Here is a 12737-nt window from a genome sequence, read left to right as displayed (position 1 = left end):
CAAGTAGCTGGGATTATAGGTATGTGCCACCACACCCAGCTAATTTTTGTATTTTTAGTAGAGACAGAGTTTCTCCATGTACGCCAGGCTGGGCTTGAACTCCTGACCTTGGGTGATCTGCCTGCCTCTGCCTCCCGAAGTGCTGGGATTACAGGCATGAGCCACCGTGCCTGGCCAATGGGTGTCTAATAAGAAGCTGGCCATGTGAAGACAGAGACACTCAGGGAGAAAGCCGAATGTCAATGAAGGCAGAGATTGGAGCAATGCAGCTGCAAGCCAAGGCACACGAAAGATTGCCAGCAAGCCACCAGAAGCTAGGAAGACACCTGAAGCCAGAAGGACACCAAGAATGATTTCCCTGCAGGTTTCAGAGGCAGGATGGCCCTGCTGATACCTTGAGTTTAGAATTCTAGCCTCCAGAACTGTGAATACATTTTCTGTTCTTTTCAGCACACAGTTTGTGATACTTTGTTACAGTAGCCCAAGGAAACACATACAACCAATTTTTTTGCTTTTCAAATTGGAAAAGAATAAAAAGAATAAGTTCCCCAGGGCTTAGCAGAATGTTCACAAGGAGTGGGTAATAGGCATTCTTACATACTCCTGATGGGAGACGCTACCTATGAAGTCTTTTTGATAGGTGCTGGCAAAAAGTATCAATAATAGCCTCTAGAAAAGAATATACTTTTGGCCAGCTACTATGTCTCTATGAATTTATCTGAAGAGTTAAGAAGACAAAAGATTGTTTATTATAGCTATGCTGACAATAAGAGAAAGTTAAAATATTGAAGTGTCTGATAACAGAGGATTGCTTAAAGAAATCATGGTAAATTCTAAATGGTCATTAAGAATGACGTAGATTTATTTGCATTGCCATAGAAAAAGACTGACCACATATTGTTGGTATGATAGAGAAATTCAAATTATATATAATATCTATATAATGATGATTCCATTTTTGTAGGGAAAGATGTATATATTTACATACCTACGTATATTAAAAAAAAAAAGTCCCCAGGGTTTGATAAAGTACTTAGCAATTGGTAGACACCCAATAAACCTTTACTGAATGTATATAGGAAAAATGAATTTTTCTTTATACTCACAGTTAACACTTCTGTGGCCCCAGATATGTGAGTTTTTTTCCCACACAGACGGATTCTCCAACACCAGCTGGGTGTCGTACGATACAATTAAATTCTGACACTATCTACCTGGAGTTAACACAAGCCCCACAAGTTAAGGGTGCAGTCTTACAAGACTGCCACCCACTTCAGACACCAATCACAAGTCCACGCCATCACCTGCGCTTCTGACCAACCAGCTGTATATCGGAGGTTCCTACAACCTCCTTCTTAGTTTTGATCTTTGCCAGGGCAGCTCACAGAACTCAGGGAAACATGTATTTATGCTTACCAGTTTATTATACTGGATGGTACAAAGGATATAGACAAATAGTGGAGGAAGAGGTACGCAAGTCAAGGTATGTGGGAAAGGGGTGCAGAGCTTCCACGTCTTCTGTGGGCTTGACACCCTTTGAGAACCTTCCTGTGTTCAGCAACCTAGAAGCTTTCTGGACCCCATAGTTCAGGGATTTTTTGGAGTTTTATCACATGGTAGATTATTAATTCAGTCTCCAGCTCCTCTTCCCTTCCTGGGGGATACGGGTAGGCAGTGTGAGGCTGAAAGTTCTGAGCTTCTAATCACGGTTTCATGTTTCTGGCGACCACCTCCATTCAGGAACCCACTAAGAGCTGCCTCATTAGAACAAAATATGCTTCTATCATCCAGGAAATTCCAAGGGATTAGCAGCTCTGTGTCAGGAATTGGGGTCAAAGACCAAAAAATATATTTCTTATTATAAATCACAATATCACACTGAATAAATGAATGGATAATTACATAAATAAAAGCTATACACCCAAAACGTTTGCATTTATTTTCTATAGTGGGGGGAATTAGGGGTGATCTTTTTCCAAAAAATGTGTTTTTATTCTTTTTGCATCTATTTACATCTATTTTCAAATTTTTGTACAATAAGCACACATTACTTCTATAATAAGAAGAAAAAAAGAAACTTGGAATTCTGTCAAATTCTGCCATCAACTTATTTTCTAACCTAGGACACCACAACCACCCTATCTTGCCTCAGAGTCCCCAGCAAGAAATGGAGAGTTGGTTGGATGACCCCCAGGAACCCCCCTCCCTTGGCTGGGTGGAGGAGAGGGCGGAGCTAAGGAAGGCTCTACAGTAGAGGGAACAGGAATGAAATGGAACTGGGAACAGAAAGATTCCCCATGAGCCAGCGAAAGTGTGCAGGCGAGGGAGCTGCAGTTCCTCAATCTTGTCAGGGCCTCAGAGTCCAAAGGGTGGAATAGACAGAGCTGCCCCAAAACTGTGAGTTTTCTGGGCCTGAAGCCACATCGCATCTGAATGCTGGTTGGTAGAAAGCTGACAAAGAAATGAAACCATCAATAACAACAAGGAAGAAACTGAAAGTAACACAAGCAGATGTTAGATTGAAAGGCCTCAAAAGGTTGACTCTTGAAGGCTATAAACTCTAAGACTTATTGCAGCCTTTTTGGAAAACAGTCTAGCAGTTCTTCAAATGGTTAACCATAGAGGTGTCTATGGTTATCAATGGTTAAACAGCTCAGCAGTTCTAATCCTAGGTATATAACTAAGAGGAATGAAAACATTTGTCTGCACAAGAACATATACATAAATATTCATAGCAGCATTATTCATAGTAGCCAAAAGGTGGAAACAACCCAAATGTCCATCAACTGATGAATAAACAAAATGTGGCAAAGACATATGATGGAATATTATTCAGCCATGAAAAAGAAACAAGTTCTGATACATACTACAACATGCATGAATCTTGAAGACATTATGCTAAGTGAAAGAGGCCAGTCACAGCCAGATGTAGTGGCTCATACCTGTAATCCCAGCACTTTGGGAGGCCAAGACAGGAGGATTGCTTGAGCCCAGGAATTCAAGACCAGTCGGGGCAATATAGCAAGACCTTGGCTCTACTAAGAGTAAAAAAATTAGTTGAATGTGGTGGTGCACACATGTAGCCCCAGCCACTCAAGGAGCTGAGGCGGGAGGACTGCCTGAGCCCAGAAGGTAGAGACTACAGTGAGCTAGTGAGCCATAATGGTGCCACTGTGCTCCAGCCTGGGTGACAGAGCAAGACCCTGTCTCAAAAAAAAAAAAAAAAAAAAAAAAGGAAAAGACCAGGCTCGGTGACTCACACCTGTAATCCCAGCACTTTGGGATCACTTGAGGTCAGGAGTTCTAGACCAGCCTGGCTAACATGGTGAAAAGCCATCTCTAATAAAAAAATTCAAAAATTAGCAGATGTGGTGGCAGGGGCCTGTAATCCTACCTACATGGGAGGCTGAGGCAGGAGAGTGGCTTGAATCTGAGAGGCAGAGTTTACAGTGAGCTGAGATTATGCCACTGCACTCCAGCCTGGGCTACAAAGCAAGACTCCATCTCAAAACAAACAAACAGAAACAGAAACAAAAACAAAACAAAACAAAACAAAAAAAACAAGCCAGTCACAAAAGGCTACATATTGAATCACTCCATTTGTATGAAATGTCCAGAATAAGCAAATCTCTAGACACAGTAAGTAAGTGGCATTTTAGGGCTGGGGGTTGATTATGGGGGATGATGGCTAGAGGGTATGGGGCTTCTTTTGGGGGTGATGAAAATGTTCTAGAATTGATTGCACAACTGGGAATATATCAAAAACCATATAACTATACACTTTAAGTGAGTAAATTGTATGGTACTTGAACAATACTCCAATAAAACTGTTACAAGGAAAAGAAAAGCAATTGAAGGCTGCGTTTTTCTAATTCATGTTATCAGTTCATCCTGCAGAAAGTGTGATTTCAGCTCCCATTTATTCGAGGCATCTCCTATCTCCCAGGCAAAGGTGTTAATTGTGACATCAATTGGATGACAAGGGATGTGTAGACCAATTGCTCCCGTAGCCCCAGCCAATTGCCAGCGAACTGACAGGCAAGTGAGTAAGGGCTTCCTAGATCATTCAGCTACCAGCTGAGCCTCCAACTGACCGCAGACCCATGAAAAAGCTCAGCTGACTCACAGAAGTGTGAGCTAAACCGGTGATGGTTAGACAGTGCATTTTGGGATGGTTTGTTACATAGCAGAAACCAACGGACACATGTCTGGTACAAATGTGTAAGAGTTTCCTCCAGGAAATATACCAAGATACGGAGCCACCAGGTCTAGAGTTGGCATTTTTTCAAGCCTACTAGATGCTGCCAAGCAGCTCTCCACAGTGGTCCTGCCAATTTATACTCCCACCAGCCCTGTAAGCACATTCCTTTTGCACCACAACCTTGCCAATACTTGGTAATGTCAGTTATTTTGATTTTGCCAATCTGGTATGTGCGAAATGGTATCTCAATGTTGTTTTAACTTGCAACTCTCTGATCACAAGTGAGGCTGAATATCATTTCTGAGGTTTACTGGTTGAATGAGGTTTCTGAAAAAAAAAAAAAAAAAAAAAAAAAAGAAGACCTTGGTCAGATCTGTGTTTCTGTGTTTCTCTCCCTTCTTGAACTGGCACACTCCCAGACACAAATTAGTCTTCACTTCCGGAGTCCCCTTCCCAACTATTTTACCTGCCTTCTCCTTAAGACTCAGTGCAGGCATTCACTCCTCCAGGAAGCTTTCCTGACTTCCAACCTCCACATTGGGTCAGGTGCTCCCTCTGTGCCCCATCTACCTTCCTCTATTGGAGCACCCACCTCATTGTATTGCAGTTGTCTAACTCTTCCTCTAGAGCAGGGATATTCAATAAAAGTTTGTTGTATGACTGGATGAAACCCAAGCTTTGCCTTTTAAAAGCTTAGCCTCCCAGCCTCAGTTTCCTCATCTGTTGAATGGGGATGATACAGGAATTCTTGGAGAATTGACATGAGTCTTAAATGAAGAAAGGAACATAATGTATCTGATAAAGTAAGCTCTCAGTAAATTGAAGCAAGTATTATTTAGAATAAGGAGGTCTCAATGTTTTTGGTCATGGACCACAGAATTTAGAAAAATGAAACATTGATACGCACACAAGCACAGATACGGTGCACAATTTCTGAGACGTCACAGGTGCTCTGAAGTCATGATCCCCACATTAAGAACCTGTAATCTATAGATATTTATAAATGTCAATTATTTTTACCTTTATGCCCACCATTAGCACCTAATAAATGTTCAGTAAGACAGTGCTGATGAATGAGTTAATTTTGTAAATGGATCAGCAGCCACCCCTGCCCCATGAAATTCCTCAGCCAGTGAGGCTCTTAGCCCATGGTCAGGCTTTCGTTGTCCATCACCTAAAAGGAAAGAGGACTCCCAGACAGTGGAGTGACCTTGGCTTTTTCTGACAAGCAAAAACAATGGCACAAAGCCTTTGCCACATGACCAGCAAAAGCTTCCACAGTCTCCCTGGGCCGGCCACCCTTCCTAACCTCCTCACAGTCCAGTAAAAAATCCTCATTTTCTCCAACTCCAAAATCAGATTCTGAAAGGCAACTGCAAACTCCTTCTTGCTACAGTGCCTTTTAATTAGACAACAAAAAGCCCTGGAGATCATACTGCTCCCTTGTAACGGTGTGTTCCAGAAAATTACTGCCATTGGATTAAATTAAAGAAAGGTTATTCAAGTGACTCGTTAGGCACATTCCAACAGTGTTAGGATAGCACCAGGGCTGTTGTTGCTGTTTTTGTTTTTTTGTTTTTTGTCATGCACAGAGCAAGGAACAAATGCACGTCCTTATGGAAGGTTTTTCATGACACAAACTAGTTCTCATAGAATAGTTAGGATAGGAGAGCCTGAGAAGTCGTGCCTGGAATTGGGACATAAAGATTTTCACCAATTGGAGCTGGAGGAGGAAGCATCTAACATTAGTTGGGAATATACATACTATTATGGGCTGAATTATGTCCTCCCTTACCTCATATTCATATGTGGAAGTCCTAATCCTGAGGACCTCAGAATGTAACTATATTTGGAGATAAGGCCTTTAAAGAGGTAGTTATGATGTTTTAGGGTGAGCCTTAATCCAATATGACTTATAAGAAGAGAAAATTTGGACACAGACATGGGCACATAAACAGGCAAAAGACCATGTGAAGACACAGGGAGAAGGCTGTCTACAAACCAAGGAGAGAGGGCTCAGAAGAAACCAACCCTGTTGACACCTTGATCTTGGACTTCAAGATTCTAGATTTGTGAGAAAATAAATGTCTGTTGTTTAAGTCACCCAGTCCATGGTATTTTGTTACGGCAGCCTGATATGGTTTGGATCTGTGTCCCCACCCAAACTTCATGTTCAATTGGAATCCCCAATGTTAGAGGTGGGGCCTGGTGGGAGGTGATTGGATCATCCGGGTGGATCCTTCGCAGATGGTTTAGTACTATCTCTTTGGTGCTGTTCTGGTGATAGAGTTCTCATGAGATCTGGGTGTTAAAAAGTGTGTAGCACTGGCCAGGTGCGGTGGCTCATGCCTGTAATCCCAGCACTTTGGGAGGCCAAGGCGGGCAGATTGCCTGAGCTCAGAAGTTCATGACCAGCCTGGACAACACGGTGAAACCCTGTCTCTACTGAAATACAAAAAAAATTAGCCGGGCATGGCGGCGTGTGCCTGTAGTCCCAGCTACTCACGAAGCTGAGGCAGGAGAATTGCTTGAACCCAGGAGAAGGAGGTTGCAGTGAGCCAAGATCACGCCACTGCACTCCAGCCTGGGCAACAGAGTGAGACTCCATCTCAAAAAAAAAAAAAAAATGTGTAGCAACTTCCCCCTCTCTCTCCCTCCTGCTCCAGCCATGTAAGATGTGCCTGCTGCCCCTTTGCTGTCCACCATGATTGTAAATTTCCCAAGGCCTCCCCAGAAGCAGAAGCCAGTATGCTTCTTGGGCAGCCTGTAAAACCATGAGCCAATTAAATCGCTTTTCTTTATAAATCACCCAGTCTCAGGTATTTCTTTATAGCAGTGCAAGAACAGACTAATACACAGCCCTAGCAAACTAACACACACACTGTATGCCAAATGAGTGCTTGGCATATATAACTGCATTTCCTCTTCACTGCATCCTCTGTTACCTTCATTGAATGACTGAGGAAACAGAACCAGAGGGGTCAGTCATTCAAGGTCTTTCAAGCTGGCAAGTGGCAGAACCAGGATTTAAACCCCCGGCAGTGTGACTCTGATGCCTGCCACATCTGCCAAACTGCATCAAACTGCAGTGAGGAGAAAAGGCAGTCATTGGCCTATATGGATTTTGACAGCCCCTTCCTACATAAACAGTCTGTGGTTTGGTACGCTGTGGTGGCTCAGACATATTTTTAGCAAGCTCTGATGTCTATCATGCTGTTGAAGAAGTGCTACTGTCACTGTGGATCTTTATGGAGTCCAAGTGCATCTATAAATCTTTCAGGGCTGTTAGAGAAGGTGCCTGATACTCCTCCAGGAAAAATCAGAACCTGCACCTGCCAGTTGATGGTTCTCCGTTGCTCTTAGAATAAGGTCAAAATTGCTTAGCCCAGCATTCCATGTCTGTCATAATCCACTTCCTCTACAGCCAAATCTCCGGCCATTTACTTGCTATGTTCAGTTATGCCGGACTTCCTTCGTTTCCTGAACATACTGCATTCTTTCTTGCTTCTGTGTCATCACTCACGCTGTTCCTCTGCCTAGAGTGTCCTTCCCACTTTGCCCACCTGGTGACCCTTTACTCACTCAGGTGTCATCCTTCAAGTGTTCCCTCTTTCAGAAAGTCTTTTTGACCTCTCCTGGAAGAATCTGTTGCTTCTTCCTCTGGTCACTTGTTATACTTTGACATTTTCTGTGTGATGGACACACCCTAAGGGGACCCCCCCCGCCCAGTGAGTCACACGCATGTGTATTCTCCTCCCATTCAGTGTAGACAGACAGGCTTCTAACCCATAGAATATAGTAAAGGTGATGGGATGGCCCTCCCTTGCTTAGGTTACTTTATGCATCTTTGCCACATAAAGTAGACTGAGTAGAGTTCAGCTCTTTCAGCCCACACGCAGTGCCTGGCACATAGTAGGCACTTGATATACTGTTGAATGAAAAAGGTGAATAGATCTTTAAGGTTCCACCTGGCTTTGAAAAAAAGACTATACTTTTAGGATGTTGAAACATCATTTACTGTGACCTTCATAGAAGGTCAATGAGAACAATGGGATGTTGTTCGTATGATTACAATATGTTGTACAAGGCATTATCTTAGCAGATAGAGAGACCCCCTTGTGGTTTTCGAGGTGTCAACTAACGTGGGTGGACCACATGGTGAAACGTGAGTAACTTCTTGAAATAGAGAGAGGCTTCCAGCCAACCGCCAGGAAAAAGGTGGGCCCTCAGTCATACTGTCACAGAGATGGACTCTGCCATTGATTGCATGCGTGGAAGTGGATCCTCCCCATGTGAAGATTTCAAATGAGAACAGAGCCCTGCCAACACCTTGATTGCAGCCCTGCAAGATCCTGAGCAGAGGAAACAGCTAACGATTGCCCTGACTCCTAACTCATGGAAACCAGGATGTAATAAATGCATATTGTTTAGGCAATCAAGTGAGTAACAATTTGTTACATAGCAACAGGTTACTAATACACTTTATTACAGCACACAGCCAGTATTATTCTTTATATGTTACTACCAATTAGATGAGAGCCATAAGAACAATGACTAGAGTTCAGTTTTTCAGCCCACACACAGTGCCTGGCACACAGTAGGCACTTGATAAACTGTTTGTCGAATGAAAAAGATGAATAGATCTTTAAGGTTCCACATGGCTTTGAAAAAAAGACTATAATTTTAGGATGTTGAAACGTCATTTACTGTGACCTTCATAGAAGGTCAATGAGAATATCATATTTCCAAAGAATGAAGAAGAATGCAGACAGAAAGCATTCTTCCGTAACAGTTATAGATTCTTTGACACAATTTGCCAAGTAGTTGGGCGTGCCGGGCCCTGTAAATGTAATAAAAATGTGTGTCGAGTGTCTTTGAAGATGGTCAAAGTCAAAAGCAAAAATCACCAACTGGCTGAAAGGCAGCTAGGACCATTAGCTGCTATTTGAAACCCAGAGACAAAGAGACATTAAGAGCCACAAACCAGTCAAAGGAAGAGTCATCAGTCAGCTGTGGAGCCAGGGACAGAATTCTCAATTTGTCTCAGCCCAGAACTCCCAGAAAACGTTTCATACCCCCCACCTCCTGTCCTCCTCTTCTTCCTTTCCCCTACCTCTTCCTCTGCTATAGAAACAAAAACATAATCCTTAGAGCAAGAGAGGCCTGCAGACCACCACCTCCAATCCCCTCATTGTACAAATGGGAAGGCTGAAGCTGGAGAGAATGAACTTGACCAACACTATACAGAGGGTCCGAGAACAGCATTACATTTTCATAATGCCCTGAAGGCTAAAGTTAAAAACAAAACAAAGAAAAAAGCTTCCTTAAGGATCAGTGAGAAAATGAGGCAATTCCATGGAAAGTGAGACATCTCACTATTAAAAAAATGTTTGATGGGAGCTATATAGAAAGGCAAAGCAAAGGAGCGATTTTCTCAAAGTACCATACTTCTTATAACCAGCCCAGAGCTGCCCCTTGTTCCATGTTCCCACCTTTTCCAAGTTTCCATTAAGCACTTCCTAGCCACTGTGCAATGTGCTTTACGTGTGTTCTCTTCATTAACCTTCCATCCACCCCCTTTAAGCTCTTTTTTTTGTGGGGAGATGGAGTAGTCTCACTCTGTCGCCAGGCTGGAGTGCAGTGGCGTGATCTCCGCTCACTACAACCTCTGACTTCCTGGTTCAAGTGATTCTCCTGCCTCGGCCTCCTGAGTAGCTGGGATTACAGGCACGTGCCACTATACCCGGCTAATTTTTGTATTTTTAGTAGAGACGAGGTTTCTCCATGTTGGTCAGGCTGGTCTCGAACTCCCAATCTCAGGTGATCCACCCGCCTTGGCTTCCCGAAGTGCTGGGATTACGGGCGTGAGCCAGCACACCCGGCCAAGCTCTTTTTTTTTTTTAATAGATGAAAAAACTGAGGCTCAGGGAGATTATTCGATTCCTCCAAGGTTAATAAGCAGGGATTATTTAACCAAGTCCATCTGCAGTACTGACCATAGTGCTCTGATGCTGAAATGGGTTGGAGGCTGAGGCTCAGATAAGAGGATGCCAGCTGGGAAGCCTTGCCTGGGACCCTTACCTCACACCTCACAGGGCTTGCATCCAGTCACCCATCATCACATTTGATGCACACAATGAGACAGCTCCTGACCATCAGCTCCAGGAGGGCAGGGACCATGGCGGTCTTGCTCCTGCTGAATCCCCAGAATGTAGTCTGGCAGAGCAGAGGGACCTAAGTACCATCTGAATGAATGAAAGGAATGAATGCATGAATGGATGCCCCAGTGAACCATGCTGATGTGTACATGGCAAGGATGATTTTGCTAGGGGCTTCTCTAATCAGAACAGAGCTGGTGTTGGAGTGAGTGTCCCAGTGTAACCAATACCTAATCCCCTGATTTAAGACGCTCTTAACAGACTTCGTAGCAATTGGATTACAGCACGACATGCCTGATAAGGTCGCTTCCACTGCTCTGCCTCTTTCCAGCCCACAAATCAGCTCCCTGCAACTTATTTTTGCTATCATAATAGTCTGCTATTTCCCCCAAAGCTGTATAAGAGAAATTGGCATCAGTTCCACCTGTCTTACTATAAGATGTAGTGAGAGCAGACTTTGGAGAAACAACTCATAGCTTGGACACTTAGTTTCCTCATCTGTACAGTGGTGGTAATAATAGTATTCTTTTCACAGGATTCTGGGGATTAAGAGAAACAATGCCTATAAAGTGCTTAGCCCTCTGCAATCACTCAACACATTTTCCTGGAGGAAAAGGCCTGGGACAGGCACCACTGGCTACCGGCAGGGCTATGGGCAAGACAGCAACCTTCTCTGGCCCCTGAGCGTCCCATATGTAATACAAGAATGGGAGAGGGAGGAGTCTAAGGAACCATTCAGCAAATACTTGCTGAGGATCTACTGTGGGCTCATCCTTGGGCTGAACACTGGGCACAGAGAGATAAAGGAGCTGTGGCTTCGCCCTTGAGGTGCTCTTGTGTGGTAAGAGCTTTGAGAAGTGTGTCAAGCATTGTAGGAGCACCTGGTATGTGCAAGTCATATTGAAAAACACTTTCCATATAAGAGCAAAATCAATATTTGCAATAACACTGATGACAGCACAACTGTCCTTGTTTTAGAGGTAAGGGAATTCAGGTACAAAAAAGCCCTCCGTGATTTGCCCAAGGTCACAAAGGTTGTGAATAGCAGAGATGGGATTTGAACCTGGAGATCAACTCTGTGCTCTAACTCCCTTTCTTGCACAAACATAATACGATTCTCCATAATGATGAGACAGACTCAGGAGATTACACTTAGGCCAAGATAAATACCGGTATCTCTCCTCTTTTCCCGATATTTTTGTGCTTTCTCTTTTTCTCGCCTTTCTTTTATCTCCCTGCACTTCCATCAATATTGTCTGCATTATCTACTACTCATAGAGGCGACTGCTTCTCTTTTCGTTGCTGATATCATTCCCACTGACATTGCAAGGAAGAGGAAGGTTGTGGTCCTGGAGCAGAAGTGATAACTCCAGTTGCTAACATCCTTTCTCCAGGGATCCCAGAGCTGGAAAAGGTTCCTTATGACACCCGGCATTAGACAACCTTGAGCCTCTTCTTCCTCCTGCTATCAGGCTAAGAACCCTGAGGCATCCCCAGATCCTCTCCATCTCTCCCAGTGACATCTTCTTGACTAAACCCCTGTTCATTCCTTCCACCACAAAATGTCAGCTTATGAAACAGGAATCGTTCATATGTAGCTTGTTTTTAACCTTTGATATTCCCAGCCAAATTTTCTAGAGAAAGAGTGACCCTCATACCATTCCCATCCATGGGAAAATGTGGTCCTCATACCAGCCCCAGCAGAGATACTGAGACAGTTCAGCATTTCTGAGCCAAACATTGGGGGGATCGCACAGCACAGGGGTTCAAAGTAGGAGCTCTGCGGCCAGACTGTTTGGGTTCAAATCCCAACTCTTCCATTCACTACTTCTGTAAATTTGGGTATGGTTACTTCCCTATGTCTCAATGTCCTGTCTGTTTCACCAGGAGCATGATGATGATGGTGGTGATGATGATGGTATCTCCCTTACAGAGTAGTGGGAGGACACAATGAGTTAAAATACAAGCGTCTAAAACAGTTTGACACTCAATAAACATTAGCTTTATTTTTCTGTATGTCCCATGGCAAAGGCACCTCAAATTCATCTCCATTGCTTTTAAAGGTACATTCCAGCAGATAAAGGGAAAGGAGAGACACTTCCAATGACTATGAAATATTTATTAGCAAAAGACTTTTTAAGATTGACATAACAAAGAGGGAAAATAACTCTATGTTACTCCATGAGTTGCAACATGTTTTCATTTGCTGCACAGAACATGAAACATACAGGTTGCAGTTGTCTTCTGGGGAGGCAGGATGTTGGGGAGGCAGGACGTTTGGGAGCCTTATTTTACAAATGAAAGGTGAAGCCACTTGCTGTGGGGTCACACAACTAGTTAAAGGGAAGCTCTGAGACTGGAATAATGGTTTTCTGCCT

At 43.5% G+C, this 12737-nt stretch overlaps 2 annotated features.

Moving 5' to 3' along the window:
- Nucleotides 2423-2592: an enhancer, noted in NCBI's record as "active region_28868". NCBI's record gives its function as "activates an Ori minimal core promoter by ATAC-STARR-seq in GM12878 lymphoblastoid cells {active_cell/tissue: GM12878}" and the evidence as "EXISTENCE:reporter gene assay evidence [ECO:0000049][PMID:35858748]".
- Nucleotides 7105-7306: a silencer, noted in NCBI's record as "fragment chr9:117276161-117276362 (GRCh37/hg19 assembly coordinates)". NCBI's record gives its function as "represses an EF-1alpha promoter that drives an FKBP-Casp9 reporter gene in an ReSE screen in HepG2 liver carcinoma cells {active_cell/tissue: HepG2}" and the evidence as "EXISTENCE:reporter gene assay evidence [ECO:0000049][PMID:32094911]".

This window comes from Homo sapiens, chromosome 9 (genome assembly GCF_000001405.40).
Source record: "Homo sapiens chromosome 9, GRCh38.p14 Primary Assembly".
NCBI classification, from domain to species: Eukaryota; Metazoa; Chordata; class Mammalia; order Primates; family Hominidae; genus Homo; species Homo sapiens.
The sequence above is the reverse complement of the archived record's forward strand: the minus strand, read 5'-3'. Positions and strand labels throughout refer to the sequence as shown.